General features: G+C 38.0%; 3 pseudogenes, 1 gene segment (V, D, J or C) and 1 further gene, besides 14 other annotated features; all 5 read left to right on the forward strand.

Annotated features, from left to right (window-relative positions):
* The window catches only part of TRA (T cell receptor alpha locus), a 930,229-nt gene that overhangs the window by 554,210 nt on the left and 348,463 nt on the right, over nucleotides 1-27,556 (forward strand).
* Nucleotides 1,160-1,751, forward strand: TRAV31 (T cell receptor alpha variable 31 (pseudogene); annotated as a pseudogene). Its single transcript is given in 2 exon segments — nucleotides 1,160-1,208; nucleotides 1,459-1,751. Coding segments are annotated over 2 exon segments (342 nt in total).
* Nucleotides 1,759-1,780: a recombination feature (spacer).
* Nucleotides 1,781-1,789: a recombination feature (nonamer).
* Nucleotides 9,449-9,502: a sequence feature (TRAV32 leader sequence).
* On the forward strand, nucleotides 9,449-9,948 carry TRAV32 (T cell receptor alpha variable 32 (pseudogene); annotated as a pseudogene). The gene is given in 2 exon segments: nucleotides 9,449-9,502; nucleotides 9,659-9,948. Coding segments are annotated over 2 exon segments (344 nt in total).
* Nucleotides 9,659-9,668: a sequence feature (TRAV32 leader sequence).
* Nucleotides 9,952-9,974: a recombination feature (spacer).
* Nucleotides 9,975-9,983: a recombination feature (nonamer).
* Nucleotides 14,045-14,093: a sequence feature (TRAV33 leader sequence).
* On the forward strand, nucleotides 14,045-14,601 carry TRAV33 (T cell receptor alpha variable 33 (pseudogene); annotated as a pseudogene). The gene is given in 2 exon segments: nucleotides 14,045-14,093; nucleotides 14,312-14,601. Coding segments are annotated over 2 exon segments (339 nt in total).
* Nucleotides 14,312-14,322: a sequence feature (TRAV33 leader sequence).
* Nucleotides 14,608-14,630: a recombination feature (spacer).
* Nucleotides 14,631-14,639: a recombination feature (nonamer).
* Nucleotides 26,470-26,509: a sequence feature (TRAV26-2 leader sequence).
* Nucleotides 26,470-27,255, forward strand: TRAV26-2 (T cell receptor alpha variable 26-2). The segment is given in 2 exon segments: nucleotides 26,470-26,509; nucleotides 26,969-27,255. Coding segments are annotated over 2 exon segments (327 nt in total), but the record flags the coding sequence as incomplete, so codon positions are not given.
* Nucleotides 26,969-26,979: a sequence feature (TRAV26-2 leader sequence).
* Nucleotides 27,263-27,285: a recombination feature (spacer).
* Nucleotides 27,286-27,294: a recombination feature (nonamer).

Raw genomic sequence — 27,556 nt, forward strand, 5'->3', positions numbered from 1 at the left:
AGAGAAAAAAGATAATTGTATTATTATCTCAGAAACTGTCCAGTAGCCTGGAATCCCAAGTGCTATAGTTTGAATGTTTGTCCCCTTCAAATCTCATGTTGAAATGTGATCCCCAGTGTCAGAATTAGGGTTGAATGGGAGGTGCTTGGGTCATGGAGGCAGATCCCTCTGAATAGATTAATGCTCTGGAGTGGAGAGAATGAATAAGTTCTCACTCTGTTAGTTCCCAAGAGAACTGGTTGTTGAAAAGAGCCTCGTATGTCCCCCTCTCTATTGCTTCCTCTCTCACTTTGTGATCTCTGCAAACAACAGCTCCCCTTTGCCTTCCACCATGAGTGGAAGGAGCCGGAGGCCCTCACCAGAAGCAGATGCTGGTGCCATTCTTCTTGTATACTCTACAAAATCATGAGCCAAATAAATTTATTTTCTTTATAAATTACCCAGTCTCAGTATTCCTTTATAGTAACATAAAATGGACTACGATGATGGGAAATAATATTTTATCAATGGAAGTGATCTTCTATTATAACTGAGCCAAGAGAAATAAAATTGAATAGAATGGAAGTTTTCTTTTGTCTTAACAAAGTTACCAAAATCACACATTGGGAGGATAAGCAGAAGTCTAAGATAATCAGAAAACAGAGTAGACTGCAAAAGAATTGTTTGAAATCATCAATTAAGATGGAAAGGAGGCAGGGAAAACATCATAGTTTCTAGTATCACCCTGAAATTTTGTGTGTAACAATATATGTATGTCTATCTACATCCAAGGATACAAAACCACATCTGTATTTTAAAGTAAAATATATTTTCTTCACTCAAAAAAATATATAGGTATCTTTTTAATCTCAGTCTAAATCTGGGAATAAAATTTTGTGGCCCCAAAATGTCTGGAGAATAACTAAGCAAACTTTGCTAGGGAAAGAGCTGTCTTAAACACATCTAGTGGCTCAATTTAGTCTGTGCAAGTATGAGCAGGATATGATTTAACAACTTGTCCCTGCCCCTGCCTTCCCCACTGTACCACTTTCTTTCCTATTCTGAGACAGATGCATTGCTCACCTCCAATAATTCTAGGTGGAGCTTTATACAAAACTGAATAAAGTAGGTCTCAGGCTCTGAGCAGGCAGTTTTTTTTCCTAGAAATAGAGGTGCCAACATGACTGTTGGCAGCATATTACGGGCACTCATGGCCTCTGCCTTCCTTGGTAAGGACAGTAGCTGATAGGCTGAGGACAGTCTAGGACTGGGAGAAGACAGTGGGGAGGGAAGAGGGGATGAACAACTGGTCATATGTGACAAACACTCAGGTGTAATAAGAAGGAAGAGGAAAGGAACCAGATTCTGACTCCTGCCTTTACTGAAGGTTTAACCCCTGCCCCAAAAGTTCTTGGAAGCTCTCTTACAGGTCAGCTCAGGGGACCAATCTTGTTATTTCTTCTCATTTACGGGATCCAGCATGTCACAGAGGGTCATTCAATCCCAACCAGCAATATCTACGCAGGAGGGTGAGACCGTGAAACTGGACTGTGCATACAAAACTAATATTGTATATTACATATTGTATTGGTACAAAAGGTCTCCCAATGGGAAGATTATTTTCCTCATTTATCAGCAAACAGATGCAGAAACCAATGCGACACAGGGTCAATATTCTGTGAGCTTCCAGAAAGCAACTAAAACTATTCAGCTTATCATATCATCATCACAGCCAGAAGACCTGCAACATATTTTTGTTGTCTCAAAGAGCCCACTGTGAAGAACATGTTAGAAGAGCCTTACAAAAAGATCGGAACTCAACCTGAGGCAATTGCCTATTCCCACATTCTCAGGAAAAACTCACAAACCTTACCCAGGCATTTGTTAGCAGCTGGTGGTTAGGGTGCATAAGATAAGACCCAGAAAGGAAGTCATTGAGTTCATTCCAGGAAGCACACCCTCACAACTGCCTTAGAAACCACACAGGACCACATGTAAAAGCCATACTGCTCGGATGACATCACATCTCTATTTCTTCCCATGGAGTATGCCGTTTAAAAAAGCAACATGTGAAACATGGAATTTTAAAGCTTAATTGATTGTACAGGACTTTATATCTGCTCAACCAAATCTCTTGAGGAAAATAGTATGGAAGACACTAGGGAAAAAAAACACGCATACAAAATAAAGATTTTTATGGCAGGATCCCTAAACACTGGCCAGAGAGATGCAATCTTGGTGAGACTATAGACTGGAGTACTTTTGGACCATGTAGAACAGCAGCCTATTCTGGACCAGATGCATTTTTCTATCTCCTTGGCTACATTTCACTCTAATCCTGCCAACTCCAGCTTGGCTTACCATGCTTTCTGATTCTCATGTTCCTTGCAGCTGGGTCTGCTAGTTGGGTCCTCCCTGCAGTCACATGCCTATCACAAGATTTGGTTAACCACAACAGAGAAAGGAGATATGTGGGGAGACACTGCTACAGATGCTAGGATCTGTAGTTAATCTTGTAGCCACCTAACTAATTCATGGAAACTCCAGAAATGAGACTGCAGTTTCTAAATCCCGTATTTCTTTATTCAGTCCCCAAACCCAATTGTTTCGGTCAAGCACATAAGACTAGTCTTCTGACTCTGATGAGTCATTTTTCTTCCCTACAGATTCTCCTAAAAATCCCTCCTATGAATCCTCTGCTAAGGATGCTAAGTGAACCCTATCACATGTGGCTGCAGGCCTGACACAGTGCCTAAGCCTTAACCTTCCTCTTCTCTTAATTCTGTGCTCTCAGCTAAGGTTTTGACAACTTGCCAACACCAAAACTGGAATACACAAAGTATCTGCCCTTTCTTGGTTGTTACCTATTTCAGAGCAAACTGGACATTCCTCCTCTAAAATTTTATCTATCTGAATTCAAAATAAGATTGCCATACTTGGATTCTTACTCTCATTGGTTCAGTCAATCACTTGTTCATTCAGGAAATGAAAATATGTCCTACGCAAAGCTCTTCAGTTGCTTCTAATTGTTTCAAGAGAAATATCCAAGTTCTCTTGTATGGATTAAAAATTGTTTCTCTCCATATTTTTTTTATTAAGCCCAAGGTAGATAAAAATGTGGAGACTGCTCTGTAGATATTCATAATATCCATAATCGCATCTTCAAAATCTATGAAGAGCCCAGAGAAAACCCATCCGAACCAAAGTAAATTGTAATTATCTAATTCCTCAGCCTTGCTATGTTTCTTGGGATTTCTCCTTATTGAGTCCAAATTTACTACCATGACTCACAACCTAACTGAAGCCACAGAATAAATAACTCAGACACTTGCCAATTCTTCCATCAAGCGGCCCAATAAAGACTCTAGTCTCTGTGAGACTTTTAACAATTAAATATAAAATTCTCTCAACATTTTTTGAGAAAAGACCTTAGTCTTCTTTTAAAAGAAAATGGAAGGGAAAATGGTGCAGCAGAAGGGAAAACAATGCCCTCCTTCTCAGACTGAATAGGAGAGAGGTATTTCAATTATGATCTGTGATGTACAGTGATAATATGATTTGCAATGCTTCTTATGGTTCAGAGAGAATACTGACAAAGGTCTTGCGTTTCTGATACCAATATTTCAATTTTAGATGCAATGGAAGATGGCTAGAGTTCCCATTCCTGCTAGAAAAGAGTGTTGCTTCTGCCTCAATAAGTAAAGCTGGATAAATAGAAAAATTGTAACTTTGCTTTAACCCATCAGAGACCTGAGATTACAGGGCAAATAAGTAGGCTGGACTCCAATGAGGAAAACACTCCTCCAAGGGAGACAGGCAGCTTATGGACTGGCACAACTGCAGCAGAGCATAGAAAAAGAAATGTTATCTGCCATACAAGCAAGAAAAAGAAACTGGGTAAAAGATTGAGTGAGAGCTATCATCAGAATATAGAACTGCTGGGAGTTGCAGACATAGAAGGAGTTTATATTCACTGGTAGGGCCATTTCACAGATGTTGGAAGAAGTAATTAGGGGCAGGGTGAGACACAGAGAGAGCCCCAGCAAAAGTGTAGGCTTACAAGACATAATTGGCAGTCACTGCAGGAAAGCACAAATCCCAGCATTCTTGCCTAAATCAGCCTCTTGCAGGAGGAAAAGCTTTAAGCTGTTGGGGATGGGGCTAAAGACCTGACAGCGCATTCTGTCACCCCCTAGAGCACAGGTTAAGATCCACAACAGCAAAGAAAAGAGTCAAGGGAAAAAAATCTCTACCTTTGGGTAGAGACAGGAAACCATTCTGAGCTGAAGACCCTGTAACAATACCATTCTAATTTTGCTACCTGTAAGAAAGAAGCAGAAAACTCTCTCACACCACACCCACAGAGAAACACGGCAGTGTTTGGCTGCCACAGGGAGGAAAGGTATGAATGCTGAGAAAACCCTAAATCCAAGATCCAAGCACATGGGGCCAGTCTAAGATTGAAGCTGGACCAAGACAACAGAGAAGTCCACCTACCCACACAGCGAGCCTCGTAAGCACTAAATAACAAGCAACGGCAAACTATTGCTAGAGGAGTGAGGGGTGAGGAACAGAAAGAGAGATCCTCTTTGTGCTGAAGGAATTCAGGGACAGCTAAAAGCTGAGGTAGAGTACTCTAAAAAATAGAGATTCATAAATCAATAGTAATTCAAGAAGCCAGCTTTTAAGTGGCTCACAAAGCAGTAAGATGGTTTTAGGAAAACTTATGTATTTAAGGATAGTATTCTAGACCTTCTATTTTCAGATCCTTCTACTTCCTACTTTCTATTCCTGGAGACAACATGGTTGGATACCACTATCAGAGCCATATTAGGCTGACTGAACCACCATTGTGACTTGCATTATATTATCTTCTCTCAATTCTTTATCTCCGTGGAGTTTTACCTTAAAAGATGTTCATTCATATACTTTTATTCACTAGGTATAACTATGAGGAAGCTGATAAAAAGGGATGTTTCTCATTAGTCTTTTGTTTATCTAAGATTTGTTGTAGGTTCTGATACATTAGCAGAATAATATAATCAATACTTTGATTTGTTTATCAGATCTATCTAGGTTCATATGCTACCTCTTTGTGTTCTTGAACTTCTTCGAGTCTTTGAGGATTAAATGAAAGAATTGATATCAAATTAAAAGCACAGTGGTTGGCATGTGGTAGGCACCAATAAGCCACTAATAACAGCTCTTGAAATACGTCATATCCTTTCATTGCTCCTTTACAACATTGAGTTTATAACAGGGAAAAAAAATAAATATTATTGCACAGACTCCAAGAGACTATGGACTGGGACTCGAGTGCATAACATTTTTTACTTGCAATGTACATTGCTGAAATCTAGACACCCCAAACTTCCTGCATCTGCTTAGGCTTTTCAATCACGGAAGACCACTGCACTCTGGCAGGAAAAATATCCAGATGCCTAACTTGGAAAATAAACTAAATTAGGCCATCTTGGGAAATGGCATATAGCTCTTTGGAGGGCAACTTTATATTTACCCTGTCTTCTGATATGTTGAATAAAAGAAGTTTAAATGAGACATCTGCTTTAGTATTTGGCATATTGATATAGGTGAGCTCTTACACTATGAAAGTATATTGGAAAGGATATGACAAAGAATATGCTGCTAAAATCCCTGAAACTCGTTAACACTTAAAAGTGGTTGATTTCAATAATAAATTTCAGGCATCTCAGGAACTGATTTCCTCAAAAGTATGATTTATAGCCATCTGATTGTGAAGGCATGAACATCCTCATTCTTTGACATTAAAGGAGAAACTTGGCAATTAGAGGGAGATGCATGGGCTTGATTCTAGTCAGTAAATGGTTCAGGCAGAGACAATGACATTAATCTGGGGCTTTTTATATTGGAAAACACAAGCCAAGAAAGAAGGTGCAAATATCTTTGCCATAATAATGCTGGTGTTATGATTTCACAAGAAGTAGGTGTGAATATGTTTTACTAATGAAAAAAATGCATTCATTCCTCAGATAGACTACAATGATTGGACTATCAAAGGAAAATTAGCTTTTTAAATACTAAGTTGTGTGTTTTCATGTACACGTATACACAAGTCCTGGCTGTAGCTTTACTGATACAGAGAAAACAAACTGAAATTGAAGCACTGACAATTTTCACCTACCCTCTACCTTTTTCATGGCAGCAGAGCTCACCGTGTCTTGCAAAGTTGTTAATAGCTCAAGCAAACAAAGACCCCATTGATATCCAATATATGTGCAAGATCCCATTGATATCCAATATATTAAAAAGGGACTTTGATCTGAGCTTTATTATCCTGTAGAATGGAGTGCTAATGTCTTGAAGTACAATGGAGCTAGTATACCAAATATCATGAGCTTAAGAACCAATAGAGAGGGAAAAAATGAGACAAGGAAACAAAAATTTTGATGTGTGATGGATTCTATTGGTCTATCCATTGAAGCCTTGCTATATCAAGATACCTTTTAAATTTATACTGTTCAGAACGCATATTGAAACTGTCAGTAAAAAAGATCTCTCTACTCTTCCAACAGAGTCCATTGTATATTTGGTACAAAAATAAAACATCTAAGGTTGTATTCCATTCTTTTGAATGGAAGCTCAGATTAAAGTCCCTTTTAATGTCTTGCACATATATTAGATATCAATGGGATCTTTCTGCCAGCCAGCAGATAATTCCCCAATGCAGATGAAACCTGTTTTAAATAGTACTTCTACTTCAGAAACTAGTTACTAAAAATCTCTTTGGGAAAAAGTCAGGCACATAATTGTGATGTGTGATGGATTTCCTTGTCTCCCAATTTTTTCTCTCCTTGGTTCTTAAACCGATGACATTTAGTATACCAGCTCCATGGTACTTCAGGACCATGTACATCAATCCTCTCTACAGGATAATAAAGCTCAGATTAAAGTCTTTTTAAATGTCTTGCACATATATCAGATATCAGTGGGATCTTTCTGCCAGTTAGCAGATAATTCCTCAATGTGGATGAAACCTGTTTTAAATAGCACTTCTACTTGAGCCTGAGAGGCGGAGGTTGCAGTGAGCTGAGATCACACCACTACACTCCAGTCTGGGTGACGGAGTGAGACTCAGTCTCAAAAAAATAAAAAATATATAGCACTCCTACTTCAGAAAGTAGTTATTAAAATCTCTTTGGGACAAAACTAGGCACACTGCTCTGAATACTTCATGAAATAATAATTTTTCCAACGCCTTTCTGAGCCAGGTGTTCCTGGTGTTACTAGAATGTTGGTCAGTTCTGCACAAATTTACCTAATTTACATCCTAAGATGCTCTACCTTTTCTTTGCAATAGCCATCAATTATGCCCCAATTTTTTAAAATAAATCTATTGATAATATCATGGAACTGGATGAGGAATTCTAATATTAAGTCTGCATGCCAATTCGTCCAATTACTCAGTAGAGGAAAGCCTTCCAATTGAACTTCATTGTGTGCCTGCTTTTGTGCTTCTTTTATTTAAGCATTTTGAATATATGAGACTACTTTAGCCCTTCTATTCCATTCTCATTTCCTTTTCATCCAGTTAAACTTATTGAGAGCCTAAAATAGAAAATTCAACACAGGCAGTCCTAAATTTCCAAAAGAAGATTTGCAACTAATGGTAGAACAAAGAAGCAACAAATTTTTTTTTGGACAGTTTTACATTATTGCCTGGGCTGGAGTGCAATGGCACAATCTTGGCTCACTGCAACCTCCACCTCCCGGGTTCAAGCGATTCTCCTGCCTCAGCCTCCCAAGTAGCTGGGATTACAGGCACCCGCCACCACTCCTGGCTTATTTTTTGTATTTTTTAGCAGAGATGGGGTTTCACTATGTTGGCCAGGCTGGTCTCAAACTCCTGACCTTGTGATCTGCCCACCTTGGCCTCCCAAAGTGCTGGGATTACAGGCGTGAGCCACTGCGCGCAGCTGGAAGAAACAATCTTTATAATGTTTCTTAGGAACACCATCTGGGCTGGGCATGGTGGCTCACCTGTAATCCCAGCCCTTTAGGAGGCTGAGGTGGGTGGATCACTTGAGGTCAGGAGTTCGAAACCAGCCTGGCCAATATGGCGAAACCCCATCTCTACTAAAAAGAAAATAAAAAAATTAGCCAGGTGCAGTGGTGCATGCCTGTAATCCCAGCTACTTGGCAGGCTGAGGCAGGAGAATCGATTGAACCCGGGAAGTGGAGGTTGCGGTGAGCCAAGATCATGCTACTTCACTCCATCCACCCTGGGCAACAGACCAAAACTCCATTAAAAAAAAAAACAAAACAAAACACCACCATCTGTAAGACATGGTTGACCAGAAACAGAATAATGCAAGGTTGGCCAACATAGCCAAACTCTTCTAAGCCATGAGCTCTGCCTCTGTCTCATTGATTGGTGCCTAGCTGCTAGAGTTCAGTGATAAAAGTGAAATCAAAGGCTGTACATTATTTATTTTCTTTGACTATGAGTTTATCTTTCCTGCCAGATCCAAAATGACTAATAAAATGAGAGATACAGTCAGTCTAGACTCGAACCAGGAAGAGTCTCTAAAATCCAAATGAGTAACTCTAATGGTCTCTCTGAAGACTCTGCACTGTTGCTTCTTTAAAGATAAACATTAAAATAGAAACCCGCATCTCTAATAAAATATTTGTCTTTCCCAGACTTTCTTGAGAGTGAGTCTGGAGTGACCATTTTGTGGTAACAGATCATCATTTGGGGTTATTATTTAAGCACCAGTTCCCTCATATTTGTGCTGTCAGTCACTTCCTCAAAGCTTCCCATTCAGTATGTTTTAACTTAAGACTCAGAAGGACACATTGATGATAAGAAGTTTCTCAGTGGGTCTGAAGCTTAGCTCCAACACTGCTTGTCTTAGAATAGAGACTTTATCTTACTAGGACACCAAAGAAGACTGTTACTACATGGCATGAATATCTGCTTCTTCTTTATTTAAAAAAAAAAAGTGCAGAAGGCATCAATGGATAACATTCTCTATGTTTTCATTTGAGTCTAGTAGTTTTCTGTTCTTACTTTGTACTGTCAGGCTTTTTTTCCCCTTATATCTACCTTAAACCCTATAAAGAACTACTACAGATCAGAAACTTTAAATGCAAGATCTGTAACTTAATCACCAGAAATATAAACCAGAAATATGACTTTCTACTAATTTCCTACTTGTGAAGTAAGATGTTCTAAGGGATAGGCAGACATGCCAGCTCTCCTTCTAAAGACAGAATGTGTGTTATACACGTGGCCTTGGCAATTAGAGGTCTGTACACAGGATGGCAGCACTTCATTTTCACATGCAGAGAAATGGAATGTTCAACTCTGTTGGGCAGAGCATAGCTTGTCTCCTATTGGCTTATAGCCAGGTTAAGAAAGAGCAAGAATACACTGAGAATAGAATATGTTCTCCTTCCCAGATAGTATAGATCATTGATGATTCTAATGGCAAGAAGAATGGAAAAGTCCCTGGGAGCTTTATTCAAATTCAGCTGAAGCGTAAGTGCAGGGCTTCTGGAGGGGTCCATCACAAGTCTGGGGAAGGAGGGGGATTCATTTTAGTTCTCCCCTGGTTTTCTGCTGATACTCTGCAAAGAAAACGTACATTCGGAAAATGACCCAGTAACCCATTTTCCTTGTTTCAACGGTGATGACTGGCCAAGAAAAGGATGTGATACAGAGTTATTCAAATCTAAATGTCTAGGAGAGAGAAATGGCCGTTATTAATGACAGTTATACAGATGGAGCTTTGAATTATTTCTGTTGGTACAAGAAGAAAACGGGGAAGGCCCTAATATCTTAATGGAGATTCATTCAAATGTGGATAGAAAACAGGACAGAAGGCTCACTGTACTGTTGAATAAAAATGCTAAACATGTCTCCCTGCATATTACAGCCACCCAACCAGGAGACTCATTCCTGTACTTCTGTGCAGTGAGAACACAGAACTCTTCAGGCACCTGCAACCTGTACTCAAACCTGCAACTGGGAGTCCAGTCACATTCTTTGTCTTTGAACGGGTTTTGGGTTAGAATGGTTTACCATAATGTGCTTGTTTCTAAATTGAAATGAATGCAGAAATCTAATAATTGTGATTACAAAATCATTACGTTTAAAGTAACTCAAAATGAGCTGGTATACTTTGTACTAACTCCAATGTATTCGAGAGGAGAAGTAGTGTTGTTTTAAATAGATATGTAAATAATAAAGATAACCTCATTGGAATATCTGAGGTTGTTTCATTGAGATCCTACACTTCCATAATAAAACAAGGACACCTAAAACTCTTCTGGGTGGCAATCTGCTGGCCTTCAGAAAAAAAAAGAAGATTCATTTTTGAAAAAATTTTAAAATTTTTAAATCATCATATTTTAAAATCATCACACACTCATTATTTATTATAAGTATTTTCATTCCAGGTGTGTCTGCATATGCCCTAATTCATAGCAACTTAACATATCAAGTATATTTATCATATAACATTTATGTCCATTCTCCTCTGGACATCCACCTTCATAGTACGGGTATTCAGTCATAAAAGTTACAATTCAAATAGCCACCAGAAGAATTCCTGCAAAGATTTTTGTCTTGCAACTGTTCTACATTCAGAAAATATTTACCAACTGCCTACTCTGTGCCAGACATTGTTCTTGGTGTTGAGGATTGAGCAGGATGAACAGAAAGACATGACAAAATTTAATTGTATTCTGCTTCTCTCCTCCAATGGATGTCTGCTCACCAGAAATTAACTGGGGAAACATTTTGATGACAGTGTATATCCAGGGATCAATGACACCACCTAGGAGTTTTAGGATTTTGCCCAAATTCACCAATTCCTTCATACCTCATAGGTCTGTATGTACAGTAGCAACAGTGTGATCTTTCTCTTTTTTCCAATGTTCCTTCAAGAAAGGAAGATAATAGTTATTTTAGTCAAACTGTTCAAAATAGAGAAAAAAACCTACCAACTCCCTCATGAGGCAAAAAACATAAACAAAATCTGTAGAGTTAAGAGTAGTGAGGCTGGGCACTGTGGCTCATGCCTTTAATCCTACCACTTTGGGAGGCCGAGGCGGGTAGATCACTTGAGGTCAGGAGTTCGAGACCAAACTTCCCAACATGGTGCAACCCCATCTCTACTGAAAATATAAAAATTAGCTGGGCGTAGTGGTGTGGACCTGTAATCTCAGCTACTCAGGAGGCTGAGGCAGGAGAATCGCTTGACTCTGGAAGGCAGAGGTTGCAGTGAGCCGAGATCCTGCCTCTGCACTCCAGACTGGGTGACAGTGCAAGATTCCATCTCAAAAAAAAAAAAGAGAAAGTATTTTTCATATAAATTATTCTCGGATTTTTGAATAAGTAATAAGTATACATGGTATAAAATAAAAATTATACAAAAAGATATATAGTGAAAAGTAACTTTTCTCTTTACCTCTATCCCCACTATCCCCAACAGCCTAGTATAACCACTGTTACACTGAAATTTTCTTTGAACATTATACATATATACATATATATGATGTGTATATATATATATGTATATATAAAAATGATGTATGTATATATGCTTGTGGGTATATATATAACATATATATTAATGTAGCATACCATCCACACTGTTCTGTTACCATGCTTTCTTACTTAAACTATATCATGGGAAACCATCATTGTCAGTACATGAAGACAGCTACCTTATTATTTTTAATCTAAATTTTCAAACACACACAAACTAGGAAGAATTGTATAATGAACTCCTTTGTATCTTTCATTCAGCTTTAACAACCATCAACTGGCTATCTCCTTCTCTTTAAAGTTTCAAATTTTGCCATTGTGTGACTATACCACATTTTATTTAGTCAATCTCTTGTTGATGGACACAGATTGTGTTCAAATTATTAGTTTTGTTTGTATTGTAGCATAGTTTAGTAAGGTACACAGATCTCAAGAGTACAGTTCAATGAGTTCTGACAAATGTATATGCCATACAACCATCACTGAAACTAAAATATAGAACATTTCCCATAATCCTGAAAACTCTCTCATGTTTCCCCCCCAGACAACACTTCCACTAAAGTAAGAATTGTTCTTATTTACATAAAACCATAGAATAGTTCTGTTTATTCTATTTTGATAAATTGAGATATAATTCACATAGCATAAAATCCATGCTTTTGAAGTATACCATTCAGTTATTTTTAATATCATCACAAATCTGTGCAACCATCACAACTAATTCCTAAACTTTATCATCACTCGCCAAAAAAAAAAAAAATCATACCTATTATAAGTCACTCTCATCCCCTCCTCAGCACATCTGCCCCTAACAACGCCTTAATCTGCTTTCTGTCTCTATGGCCTATCCTAGATATTTCATACATATGGAATTGTACAATATGTGACCTATCATGTCACGTATTGTATGATTCACATATTCACATATTTTACTGGCTTTTTCACTTACCATAATAATTTCAAGGCTGAACATTTGTGACCAAGTTTTTGTGTGGACATACGTTTTTAGTATTTGGGGTATTATGCATAAAAATGGAATTGTGGGTCATATGGTAATTTTATGTTTAACTTTCTGAGGAACTGCCAAACTATTTTTCAATGTGGCTTCACTACTTTACATTACTGTCAGCAGTAAGGGAGGATTCCAATTTTTCCACATTCTCATTTGTTATTGTCCGTCTTTTTAATTAGACCCATCTTAGTAGGCATAAAGTAGTATCCCTCTGTGGTTTTCACTTGCAATTCCCTAATGACTAATAAGGCTAAGCCTATCTTCATGTGCTTAATGGCCATTTGTGTACCTGCTTTAGAAAATGTCTGCTCAAGTATTTGGGCTGTTTTTAATTGGGTTGTCTTCTTATTGTTGAGTTGTAAGAATTCTTTATATGTTCTGGATACTAGACTTTTATGAGACATATGATTGGCAAATAGATGCTCCCATTCTATAGATTATGTTTTTTTTTTTTGCTTTCTTAATAGTGTTTTTTGAAGCAGAAGTGTTCTAAATTTTAATGAAGTCTAATTTATCTATTTTTTCTTTAGTTGCTGGTGCTTTATATGTCATATTTTTAAAAACATTGCCTAATCCAAGGTCACAGATAGTTATATCTATGTTTTCTAAGAGTTTCATAGTTTCAGTTTGTACATTGAGGTTATTGCTCCACTTCAAGTTAATTTTTGAATATGGTGAGAAGTAGGGATGAAAGTTCATTCTTTTGCATGTGAATAATAAGACATTTGGAGTCCCCAACCAAAAGAAAGCTGGGTAGCTATACTAATATCAGATAAAATTGACATTAAACCAGGAATTATTACTAGAGACACAGAGCAACACATCAAAATGATTGAGTACGATCTACCCAGAACAAATTCTATTTTTATATATACCTAATGGCGTAGCTTCAAAATATATCAAACATAAATCAGTAGAGTTGACCAGTAGAATTAAATTGGTAGAATTTATTGATTAAAAGATCAATAAATAATTATACAACCATCATGTCAGGCATTAACACACATCTCTCAGTAGAAAAGTATTGAAATTATGACCAACACAACTAATATCCTTTACCTCACATACATAGATTGAATACTTTACCTCAAAAGAACAGATTACACAAGGAATATTTAGCAAAATTGACTATATTCTGAAACATAAAGTAAGCCTTAATCAATTTCAAAGAACTTAAATCATTCAGAATAGTCATAGTCTCTGACCATATGGTATTAAGCAAAAATTCAATAACAAAATGATTATTAAACTTTATTCCTGTACCTTGCTAGATATAAGGTTAATTTTTCAAATGTATTGCCACAGAAAACACCAAGACAAAACAGAGATTTGGGGTAGGGTAGATTTTTCAGTCTCTGAATAGAGCAATGTAACATACTACTTGCACACTTTATTTCCTGTTTGGGGGCAGAAACACTGAACTTCTCCAGGGACTTTGCACTCAGGCACTCAGAGAAGCATTTTGTTTCCAGGCTTGAGTGAGGAAGCAAATTTCAACCATAAGAAGAAATTCTACCATGCTCTGCCCTGGCCTGCTGTGGGCATTCGTGGTCCCCTTTGGCTTCAGTACCTATGGGCGGCCCCAAACATGGGACTGCAGCTTCCTCGAGAGCTGGGCTGCACAAATTGGAACTGGTGGAGTATTAAGTAAGAGGTAAGGGAAGTGGGGAAATGAAACACTATTTAATTATTTTCTTTGTCCTTTTGCCATAAATTAATCTAGTCCTCATGACCCATCTGAGACATTTAAGGGAACCAACTCTGTTTTCTCCTTTTTCCCATAGGATCCAGCATGGCTCAGAAAGTAACCCAAGTTCAGACCACAGTAACTAGGCAGAAAGGAGTAGCTGTGACCTTGGACTGCATGTTTGAAACCAGATAGAATTCGTACACTTTATACTGGTACAAGCAACAAGCAACCTCCCAGTGAAGAGATGGTTTTCCTTATTCATCAGGGTTATTCTAAGTCAAATGCAAAGCCTGTGAACTTTGAAAAAAAGAAAAAGTTCATCAACCTCACCATCAATTCCTTAAAACTGACTCAGCCAAGTACTTCTGTGCTCTCAGGAATCCCACAGAAGTAGAAATGACAGTGGAAGATAAACAAAAACCTTAGCACTCCATAAAGGAAGCCACCTGCTCAGGAGCTTAGGGAAAATACATGAAGCACAGACAGGAAGAAGGCACATTAGTGGCACAGTTGAGACCTTATAATGTAAACATTCCTCTGTAAAAAAAAAGTTTCCTTATTGAGTTTATATATAAAGCAGCATTCTTTCTTGCGATTTCCAACTATTACGTTTCTATCTTGGGTTAAAGTAAATCACAAAGTGTATTAGTCAGGGTTCTCTAGAGAGACAGAACTAATAGGAGAGTTGTATGTATGAAGGGGAGTTTATTAAGGAGTATTGACTCACACAATCGAAAGGTGAAGTCTCACATTAGGCCGTCTGCAAGCTGAGGAGCAACGAAGATAGTCGGAGTCCCAAAACCTCAAAAGTAGGGAAGCCGACAGTGCAGCCTTCCATTTGCGGTCAAAGGTCCGAGAGCTCCTGGCAAACCACTGCTGTAAGCCCAAGAGTCCAAAAGCTGAAGAACTTGGAGCCTGATGTTTGAGGGCAAGAAGCATCTGGCATGGGAGAAAGATGAAGGATGGAAGACTTAACCCGTCAAGTCCTTCCACATTCCTCTGCCTGCTTTTATCCTAGTTGAGTTGGCAACTGATTAGATGGTGCCCACCCAGATTAAGGGTGGGTCAGCCTCTCCCAGTGCAGACTCAACTATTAATTTCCTTTGGCAACACCCTCACAGACACACCCAGGAACAATACTTTGCATCCTTCAATCCAATCAAGTTGACACTCACTATTAACCATCATACAAAGTGCTTTTTAAAATCGTTGCTGAACAATAAGATTAAATGAACCTATGTATTTCATGAAATTCAGAAGCAGTTTGCTGATTCTCATCTTAAACTGTTGAATTTCCAGATTTGAAGTAGCACTATAAACCATTTTATCTTCCAATCTCATGTTGATTTTAGCAGTTTTTATAAATATTATCATTTTATTTATTTATATATTTTATATATAAACAAATTTCATAAATACATAAATTTACTTTTATGTATTTTAATATATAAATACATGGTTTTTATTGTATTCAGATAGATAAGAAGGCAATTAATGTTTTGAAAGAAATGGATGACCAAAAGAAGCTTTGACTAAAACAAACTATGATTGTTAGAGATAGAAAATAATTCTTGGGTGCTTCATAAGCCCAGCAGAAGGTGGGCTGAGAAACCAATTTATCCACCAAGGCAGGCATATTCCTTAATATGTGGTCAAAGGAGATAAGAGAAAAAGAATATTCCAGAGGACTGAGCCAGAGAATGTAAAAAACAATGGGCAAAATAACTCCCTGCATAGAGTGCAGTCAGAATCTCATCAAAGCAGGGTAGGGGTCTTCATAATAATCCAAAATGAACTAGGTATGTGCAGAAAATAATTAACAGTTTTTGTAACACACTGAGATTTTGGAGTTGATTATTGTAGCAGGATAACCTAGTTACTCAACTTATCTAAATACAGAGAAAAAATGAGAAAATGTTTTCCCAATTTATTTTACAAGGCCAGCATGATTTTGATACTAAACCTGAATAAAGAAATATTTTTTAAAAAATTATTATGGGATAATCTCACTAAATGAACATAAATTCAAAAATTCTAAACAAACTATTAGTAAAAAGAATTAGCAGTTATAAAAAAGAATAACATATCACAACCAAGTTGGGTTTTATATAATCTTTATATAACATCTTAAATGAATTAAAGTAATAATTCTCATTAATAAAAACATGATTTAATAATCTCAACAGTTACACAAAAGTTTTTAATACAAAGTAAATATTCATTCATAATAAAGAGATAAATTTATGGCAAATTAGGAATAGAAAAAAAAGTCCTCATTCTGCTAAATTATATGTATTACAACAAAGCAGACATAAAACTTAATGAAAAATGTTGAATGCTTTATTTCAAGAAAGCCAAAAAAACGCTATCCCTATTAAAAAAGTATACTGAAGGTCCTAACCAATATTTAAGAAAAATAAAGAAATAAAAGTTTTAATAATTAGAAACAAGACTATAAATATTAGCCACAGATGGCATGACTGTGATATATACAATTCCAAATCATTTGCAAATATATATTACATTACTGAGTTTAGCTATGTAGTATTAAAAATTACATTTTATATGAAAGCAATCAGAAATTTTAAATGAACCTTTAAAAAGTGTCCTTAAAATAGGTGGGGTGAACTGGGGGTGGAGGGTTACGCCTGTAATCCCAGCACTTTGGGAGGCCGAGGTGGGTGGATCACGTGAGGTCAGGAATTCAAGACCAGCCTGGCCAACATGGTGAAATCCCATCTCTACTAAAATTACAAAAATTAGCCAGGCATGATGGCCCATGACTGTAATTCTAGCCACTCAGGAGGCTGAAGCAGGAGAATCTCTTGAAGCTGGGAGGCGGAGGCCACAGTGAGCCGAGATTATGCCACTGCACTCCAGCCTGGGCGACAGATCGAGACTCGTCTCAAAAAATAAAAATAAAAAAATAGGTGGGGATGACTAATGGGTACAAAAAAACTGCAAAGAACTAATAGGACCTATCATTTGATAGCACAACAGCGTGTCTATAGTTAATAATAATTTAATTGTACATTTTAAAATCACTAAAAGAGTACAGTTAGATTATTTGTAACACAAAAGATAAATGCTTGAGGGGATGGATACCTCGTTCTCCATGATGTAAACTTTTTTTTTTTTAAGAAAGTCTCACTGCGTCACCCAGGCTGGAGTGCAGTGGTGCGACCTTGGCTCACTGCAACCTCCGCCTCCCAGATTCAAGTGATTCTGGTGCCTGTCTCCTGAGTAGCTGAGATTACAGGCAAGTGCCACCATGCCCGGGTAATTTTTGCATTTTTAGTAGAGACAGGGTTTCGTCATGTTGGCTAGACTGGTCTTGAACTCTGACCTCAAGTGATCCTCCCGCCTCAGCCTCCCAAAGTGCTAGGATTACAGGCGTGAGCCACATGCCTGGCCTCTATGATGTAATTATGCATTGCATGCCTGTATCAAGACATCTCATGTGCCTCATAAATATATACACCTACAATCTACCCACAAAAATTAAAAATTAAAAAATGTAACATGTATATATCCTTAAAATAGCATAAAAATACAAAATACTTAAAAATAAATTTTAAAAGATATTTGCAAGGCCTCAAGACAAAAGGCTATAAAACATTAAAAAACGAAATTAAAGATCTAAAGAAATGGGAGAATTCATCATGTTCATGAATTAGAAGATTTACAATGCAAAGGCATCAATTCTCGCATATTTGGTAAATACATTCAATGAAATCCCCATCAGTATCAAGAGTGTGTGTATATACAAGTAGATTCTAAAATATATAGTTTTTAAAAGTCAGTAATACTCAAAGCACTCCGAGAGAAGAAGAGCAATAGGAGGACTTCCTGTCCCTGACAATAAGCCTATGAAATTTAAAATATGGTATGGAGGAACAGGAACACACTCAGTTACAGATCTCGTCAGCTGTGTGTGTTCCTTTTTCCTCTCATATCCACTCTCCACCTTTCTCTTCCTTGCTGTTTGTCTCACGAGGCTGACCTGAATGAACCGCATCAACAAGGCTCCCGTGCCCTCTGGGTTCTAGTGGATTTTTGCCAGTGAGGTGCCCTTTGCCAAAATCTGAAAAAGGTAGCAGAGTAAGGTCAGGGTGTTTGTTCCTTGGTTCTCCTCCTGAGGAATCTCTTCTAGTGGCAAACATCATTTGTTCAAAGATCACAGCTCCTTTCAACTTGGCTCTCTCCACACACCCATCTCCATTCAGGTTTTGATATTCCTCTCTGCCCTCTGGACATAGGGATAGTAAAACTCCACTGGCCTAAAGATAATAAAATTAAAATGCAGATATTTCTCAAAAATCTCATAGAGAAAGAAGTCTGAGGATTCAGGTAAATGGGAATGTGGTAATGGAATTATCTGATGCAATTTAATCAGATGCCTGCTAACCATACTCCCTGGGAATCCCAGAGGACCCTTCTTTCACCAAGGAATCAGGAAATTCATCATTGAGTGGGTCACCAGAATTCTTAAAATATTTCTTGGAGGCCATCCAACCTCTATACAGTGAAGGCAATGGGGACGGGGTGGGCACATTGCCATGTAATTTGCTTTCCTGGATTTCAGTGGGTGTGACTGGATCCTGTTGCGATAGGTAGTGGAGTTTAACAGATAGAGACAAAGATAGAGTTTAACAGATAGAGAAAGAGTATTAATCAGAGTCTTTTAACATTCAGAGATTTTTGGAGAAAGCTAATTAATCATAGAATACCTAGGAAGGAAAGACAGAATCAGCTTCCTGAGGCTCTACTTTATATTATCTAGATTTTTTGAGGAAAAAAATATAGTTTTAGTAGCTATAATGGAGATTAATAGGCCCTTAATCAATCCCAATTGAGAGGCCTAAAACATCTGAACTGAGGGAATGGTTGCATCCATTTGAGAAAGATTATGCCAGACAATATCAAGCATTGGCAAGGATATGGAACAACTGAAGCTCTTATATATTTATTATGTTGGCGCTAGGAATGTAAAATTGTGCCACCACTTTGAAAAATGGTTTAGCAATTTTTATAAAGTTAAGCATGCATATACTGTATGATCTAATAATTTGCACCCATAGATTGTTAACCAGAAGAAATAAAAAATATATATTCACAGAAGTATTTATGCAGAATGTATTTGTGAATAGAAAATATTCACATAATATTGTTTATTTCTTTTGGATAAATATTCAGAGGTGCTTTATTCATTATAGGTCATAACTGGAAAAAAATAAATAGGAATGAGCAATTTATATATACAATAACATGGATGCATTTTAAAAACATTACATGGAGAAAAATGTCAGATGAAAAGAGTTTATACTGTTTGTATCCATTAATTTGAAACTCGAGGAACAGCAAATTTAATCCATATTGAGAGAAAACAGATCAGTGGTTGTCTGGATTCTGCAGTTGGGGAACCCAGACAACCACTGATTGACAGGTAGAGAACACAGAGGAACAATTTAGGGTGAAATAATTGTTCTGTGTCTTGATTTATACAACAGTTACATGTTCTATAAATATTTCAAAACTCACCATATTTCAAAGCACTTAAAATGGGTTCATTTTACTGCATGTAATTCATACCTCAATAATGTTGATTTTTTTAAAAGAAATAATAAATATTGCTACATGCCAACCAAAATGTCTAAAATTAAAAAAGAAAGACAGAGCTAAGTAATGAAGAGAATTTGAATCTACTCAAACAAGTAAGAGTGTAAATTGATACCAATACTTAGGAAAATTGTTTAACACTAATTTCTCAATTTGAATCATAACTGATGAAAATTATTTTTTAAAAAGCCAAAGTCTGGGAAATCGTCCTAAGGGCATACCAAAAATGGAGAAGCATTTATTCAAGAAAATCTACTGAATCTACTAAATGTCAGCAAACAAAAATAAATAAGATGTGATATATATGTATACACACACACATATAATAGAATATTATTCAGCCTAAAAAGGCTGTTTTTATGGATACAGGTTCCTTTTTGGGATGAGGAAAATGTTCTAAAATTGATTGTGGTGATGGCTGCACAACTCTGTGAATATACTGAAAAACATTGAGTTGTACACTTTAAATGGGTGAATTACATGGTATGTAAATTGTATCTTAATGAAGCTGTTACATAAAAATAAAAAAGCAAAGCAAAAGGTACCACAATATTTATTGTTCTTTTCTAGACTCAGTCTGGATTCTCCATACCATTTGAATATTGCAGTAATGAACACTATATGTTTGACTTTTGTATAATATAACTAGATAACATAGAGACATCTACATTTCATATTTCTTTTCACAATCCCAATTTTTTAAACCTATATATTTATACCAGTACTGAATTATTAGTGTCATTTTTAATCTGACACATATATAACATGACACAGTGAACAGCTGTCAAATTAAGTGTCACTATATGGCTATTGTGTCATATATGGTCATATTCTAATAACCAGTCTTTATGTATTATAGATTTGTGAATTTTTCTTTTTTGGAGGATGGAGAATAAGGTTTGGTGTGCTATTTGAATTTTGCTCACAGATCTAATCTGGCATTTTCACTTTTACTTTTAGATAGTTTTGTTCAATTTGTTTTCAAAAAAATTAGAAGCTTTTTGGGGGAACAATTGCAAGAGTCATTCCATATAATTTCTCCCAATAATGTTATGAGTAAATAAAAATTAATATATTCACCCAACAAATTAAGTTCTCAATCTGTGCCAAATCCTATGCTATACAATGAGTAACATGAGCTTTGGGAACTGCCTTCAAACATGTGAAGAACCAGATACCACAGAAAACAAAAGGAATACATTAATTGAGAAAACATCACATAAATAATTTTGGGGGGGGCTTCCTTTATTTTATTTTATTAAAAAAATTTTAAATAGGTTTTTGGGGAACAGGTGCTGTTTGGTTACATGAATAAGTTCTTTAGTGGTGATTTCTGAGATTTTGGTGCACCCATCACCCAAGCAGTGTTCACTGTACCCAATGTGTTGTCTTTTATCCTTCACCACTCCCACACCTTCCCCCGAGTCCTCAAAGTCCAATGTACCATTCTCATGCCTTTGTGTCTTAGAGTTTAGCTCCCACATATGAGTGAGAATGTACGATGCTTGGTTTTCCATTCCTGAGCTACTTCATGATATGGTTTGGCTGTGTCCCCATCAAATTCTCATTTTGAATTTCCATGTCTTGTGGGAGAGACCTGGTGGGAGGTAATTGAATGATGCGGGCAGGGCTTTCCCATGCTGTTCTCATGATAGTAAATAAGTCTCATAAGATCTGATGGTTTTAAAAGGTGTTCCCCTGCACAAGCTGTCTCATTTTTTGCCTGCCACCATCCATGCAAGATGTGACTTGCTCTTCCTTGCCTTCTGCCATGATTGTGAGACTTCCCCAGCCAGGTGAAACTGTAAGTCCAATTAAACCTCTTTCTTTTGTAAATTGCCCAGTCTCTGGTATGTCTTTATCAGCAGCATGAAAATGGGCTAACATAGCATATTGGTACCAGCAGAGTGGAGCATTGAAGAAAAGATGCTTGAAAATGTGGAAGTGACCTTGGAACTGGGTAACAGGTGCAGGCTGGAACAGTTTGGAGGGCTCAGAAGAAGACAGGAAAATGTGGGAAAGTTTGGAGCTTCCTAGAGACTTGTTAAATGGCTTTGACAAACATGCTGATAGTGATGTAAACAATATCATCTTCCAGGATAAGGTGGTCTCAGGTGGAGATAAGGAACTTGCTTGGAACTAGAGCAAAGGTGACTTTGTCATGTTTTAGCAAAGAGACTGTTGGCATTTTGCCCCTGCCCTGGAGATTTGTGGAACATTGAACTTGAGAGAGATGATTTACAGTATCTGGCAGAAGAAATTCCTAAGCACCAAAGCATTCAAGAGGTGACCTGGGTGCTGTTAAAAGCATTCAGTTTTATAAGGGAAGCAGAGCATAAAAGTTTGGAAAATTTGCAGCCTGACAATGCAATAGAAAAGGAAATCCCATTTTCTGAGGAGAAATTCAAGCCATAATGAAGATCCAAATGTTAATCCTCAAGACAAATGGGGAAAACGTCTCCAGGTTATGCCAGAGGTCTTCACAGCAGCCCCTCCCATCACAGGCCTGAAGGCCTCAGAGGAAAACGTGGTTTCATGGGCTGGGCCCAGGGTCCTCATGCTGTGTGCAGCTTAGGAACTTGGTGCTCTGCATTCTGGCTGCTCCAGCCATGGCTGAAAGGGGCCAACATAGAGCTCAGGCCATGGCTTCAGAGGGTGCAAGCCTCAAGCCTTGGCAGCTTCCACTTGGTGGTGAGCCTGCAAGTGCACAGAAGTCAAGAATTGAGGTTTGGGAACCTCCACCTAGATTTCAGAAGATGTATGGAAACGCCTGGATGTCCAGGCAGAAGTTTGCTGCAGGGGCAGGGCTCTCGTGGAGAACTTCTGCTAGGGCAGTGTTGAAGGGAAATGTGGGATTGGACCCCCACACAGAGCTTCTACTGGAGCACTGCCTAGTGGAGCAGTTAGAAGAGGGCCAACATCCTCCAGACCCCAGAATGGTACATCCACTGACAGTTTACACCACACACTTAGAAAAGCTACAGATACTCAATGCCAGCCTATGAAAGCAGCCAGTAGGGAGGCTGTACCCTGCAAAGCCACAGGGGTGGAGCTGCCTAAGACCATGGGAGCCCACCTCTTACATCAGTGTGACTTGGATGTGAGACATGGAGTCAAGCGAGATCATTTTGGAGCTTTATGATTTGACTGCACCGCTGGATTTTGGACTCGCATGGGGTCTATAGCCCCTTTGTTTTGGCCAATTTCTCCCATTTGGAATGGCTGTATTTACCCAATGTCTGTACCCTCACTGTATCTAGGAAGTAACAAACCTGCTTTTGATTTTACAGGCTCATAGGTGGAAGGGACTTGCCTTGTCTCGGATGAGACTTTAGACTGTGGACTTTTGAGTTAATGCTGAAATAAGTTAAGACTTTGGGGGACTGTTGGGAAGGTATGATTAGTTTTGAAATGCAAGGAAGTGATATTTGGGAAGGGTCGGGGTGGAAGTATATGGTTTGGCTGTGTCCCCACCCAAATCTCATCTTGAATTCCTATGTGTTGTGGGAGGGACCCAGTGGGAGGTAATTGAATAATGCGGGCAAGTCTTTCCCATGCTGTTCTCATGATAGTGAATAAGTCTCACAAGATCTGATGGTTTTAAAAAGAGGCATTCCCCTGCACAAGCTCTCTCTCATTTTTTGCTTGCCACTATCCATGTAAGACATGACTTGCTCTTTCTTGCCTTACGCCATGATTGAGAGGCTTTCCCAGCCATATGGAACTATAAGTCCAATTAAACCTCTTTCTTTGTAAATTGCCCAGTCTCGGGTGTGTCTTTATCAGCACCGTGAAAACAGATGAATACACTTCACTTAGAATAATAATCTCCATTTCCATCTACGTTGCTGCAAATGCCATTATTTTGTTCTTTTTTATGGCTGGGTTGTATTCCATGGTATATATATACCACATTTTCTTTATTCTGTCATTGATTGATGGGCATTTGGGCTGGTTCCATATTTTTGCAATTGCAAGTTGTGCTGCTATAAACATGCATGTGCAAGTATCTTTTTTGTACAATGACTTCTTTTCCTCTGGGTAAATACCTAGTAGTGGGATTGCTGGATCAAACAGTAGATCTACTTTTAGTTCTTTAAGGAATCTCCACACTGTTTTTCATAGTGGTTGTACTAGATTACATTCCCATCAACAGTGTAAAAGTGTTCCCTTTTCACTGCATCCAAACCAATGGGTATTTTTTTAAATTTTTTTATTATGACCATTATTGCAGGAGTGAGGTGGTATCACATTGTGGTTTTGATTTGCATTTCCCTGATAAATAATGAGGTTGAGCATTTCCAGATGCTTGTGGGCCATTGGTATATCTTTTCTGAGAATTGTCTAGTCATGTCCTTAGCTCACTTTTTGATGGGATTGTTTGTTTTTTCTTGCTGATTTGAGTCATTGAGTTAGATTCTCGATATTAGTCCTTTGTCAGATGTATAGATTGTGAAGATTTTCTCCCACTCTGTGGGTTGTCTGTCAACTCTGCTGATTGTTTCTTTTGCTGTGCAGAAGCTTTTTAGTTTAATTAGGTCCCATCTATATATCTTTGTTCTTGTTACATTTGCGTTTGGGTTCTTGGTCATGAAGTCTTTGCCTAAGCCAGTGTCTAGAAGGGTTTTTCTGATGGTATCTTCTAGAATTTTTATGGTTTTAGGTCTTAGATTTAAGTCCTTGATTCATCTTGAGTTGATTTTTGCATAAGGTGAGAGATGAGGATCCAGTTTAATTCTTCTACATGTGGCTAGCCAATTATCCCACAACCATTTATTGAATAGGGTGTCCCTTCCCCACATTATGTTTTTGTTTGGTTTGTCAAAGATCAGTTGGCTGTAAGAATTTGGCTTCATTTCTGGCTTCTCTATTCTGTTCCATTGGTCTAGGTGCCTATTTTTATACTAGTACCATGCTGTTTTGGTGACTATGGCATTAGAGCATAGCCTGAAGTTGGGTAATGTGATGCTTCCAGATTTGTTCTTTTTTGGTTAGTCTTGCTTTGGCAATGTGGGCTCTTTTTTGTTTCCTTATGAATTTTAGGAAATAATTCTAAAACCCCAAAGTGACTGAAAATAATTTGATCTTTCTTAGAGAATTATGGTAGGAAGCTCTTTGCTGAGCCTTGTCACTAGAGGGAGGTAGCACATCCAAAATAATCTATCTTTAGACCTGAAACACAAACCCTGAAAGATTGCTAACTGACTTGGTTCCTAGTTCTATGTAAAGGAGTTCACATATACAGTCACAAGAGGGAGCTGTTACAGCTGCAAATCCAAGCTCCTTCCAGGGTGAGCGAGGTTGTCATTGAGTTGTATAAGGAATTTATGTTCATTCTTTTTGCCACCTTGTGCTTTATTATCTCTTTTTGAGTGTGTGCACAGTTTCAAAGACATGGGTAAGCCCCTTCCCAAATGCAGAGCAGAAGTGACCCTGAATGGGAAAAACAGAGAAGTGATTAATACATAGCTCAATTTTAAATGGTGAAATATTTGTTGCTATAATGGACTGACAAGCTTAGTTATTGTAGCAGAGATAATGAGTAATTTTAATTTTATTCCTTCCCATTTCTTTAATAACCACTTTTGAAAATAACTAGAAAAACCCCTTCATAGTTACTTCTACCTCTCTTATCAAATGGCATCATTTGATTTCCCTCTCCAAACCTCTTCCCATTTCTTCCTTTCTCCTTCAATGTATGCCACTCCTAGGCATCATGAAGATGAGAAAGCATATGTTAAAGAGGAGTTCAAGTGGCATAGAAATAGGGGTCATTCAAGCCATTGGCTCCTGTCTCAAAACCAGAGGCACAGGCAATGTCTATCTAGAAGACACTTAGGACATTATTCCAGGAGCCAGTGTGGGAGACCTGAGTACCAGGAAACTTGGCTTCTAACCTGAGTTCTAAATTTGTTCTTTCCTTTCACACTTAGCACAGCAATATTATACAATTATGAAATTACTTTTGTTATATATGTTGCAAATACCTTCTTTCATTGTGTCATTTGATTTTCAATTTTGCTTATGGTAATTTTTTTTACCAAAAAGAAGTTTCTAACTGTTGAAATTAAATTATATGCTACTGCTTCTTCTAAGACTTACTCGCCCTGAAGATGTGGATAGAAATTCCCTTCTTTCCCTTACAGCACAGGGCTCACATAGACTTCTTGGAATAAAGGGCTGTTCTTACCAGCTCAATGGGTTGTCAAACTACCAATTAATGGTGGGTTTTGTCCTTACCATAATAAGGGATGGGTAATCCCATTTACTTCTTTAGATGTAGCCTACTTGAGTTTCAGCCTTGAAAATGATCTTAATGGAAACTTTCTGAATTAAAGCTAGATTTAAAGAAAATATTCTTCCCCTCTTTTTAAAGTTTTATTTTTTTAATTAACAAATAATAATCGTATTTTATCTTCTTTTAAAATGTATGTTTAAACCTGGGGGTGGGCTAGACCTAACCAGGAAGCTGCTCTATCTTTAGCTGACGATTTCTGGGGAGCACTCAAATTGAAACCTGCCTGATGTGGGATGTGCTGTGGCTGCTGCTTTGTTGCTTGGGACCTCCTCTGACCTAGGATCAGACACAGAGTCTGAGTTCTGGGGCCTGGAACCTCAATGTGCACTTGAACAATGAAGTTGGTGACAAGCATTACTGTACTCCTATCTTTGGGTAAGTGTTCTGGGCCTAAGAAAGCATAGTTTTGTGGCTAATGACAAAAGAGAGTTATCTGCTGTCTCCATGTTTTCTACCATGATTTACCAATTGCGGGAAAAAATTTGTTTCTATGTGTTTCTTGAGGGTGTCTGAGCGTCAGTGTGAGGGGTTGGTCATATCCACTACTCAGAGAAGATTCTCCAGGTCTCACAGCTCTCAAGCTGTAAGGAGTTTTAGGTTCATTGAGCTCAAGGGTCATGGAAGATGGGAAATTTATTTTTGGCCTTGTGGCTCTGCATAGCTCAGGAACAAATAAATACCAGTAATATTTATCTTGTCCTGTGCAACACACATAAAAACACTCAAATATGGAGTAGGGCAGGGAGGACAGTTCTGGAGCAGTGGTGAACCTGACCTTCAGATGCACCAAGAGCTGATGATCCAGAGCTAATCTGCTGTTTTTCAACCCCATAGGTATTATGGGTGATGCTAAGACCACACAGCCAAATTCAATGGAGAGTAACGAAGAAGAGCCTGTTCACTTGCCTTGTAACCACTCCACAATCAGTGGAACTGATTACATACATTGGTATCGACAGCTTCCCTCCCAGGGTCCAGAGTACGTGATTCATGGTCTTACAAGCAATGTGAACAACAGAATGGCCTCTCTGGCAATCGCTGAAGACAGAAAGTCCAGTACCTTGATCCTGCACCGTGCTACCTTGAGAGATGCTGCTGTGTACTACTGCATCCTGAGAGACCACAGTGGGACAGATGGGGCTGCAGCTGTGCAATATCTCCCTGGTGATGAAAGGGAAGGCATCTAACGAGGCCACTGCACAAGAAGGAGCAGAAGTTTAATAGAGGAAGAAGAAAATTTAAAGAAGAAAAGGGAAAAGAAGTAAAGAGGAGGTGGTAAGGAAATCAATGAGAGGATGAGAGGATTAAAGGAATGAAGAAACTGAGAAAGAATAGCTAAGAAGTCCTGAAGAAAGGACTGAGAAGCTTGGCGAAGAGATGAAGAATCACAATTGGAATTCTGCAGTCAGGAAGAAAGGAAAT

Source organism: Homo sapiens, chromosome 14 (assembly GCF_000001405.40).
Source record: "Homo sapiens chromosome 14, GRCh38.p14 Primary Assembly".
In the NCBI taxonomy this organism is placed as follows: Eukaryota; Metazoa; Chordata; class Mammalia; order Primates; family Hominidae; genus Homo; species Homo sapiens.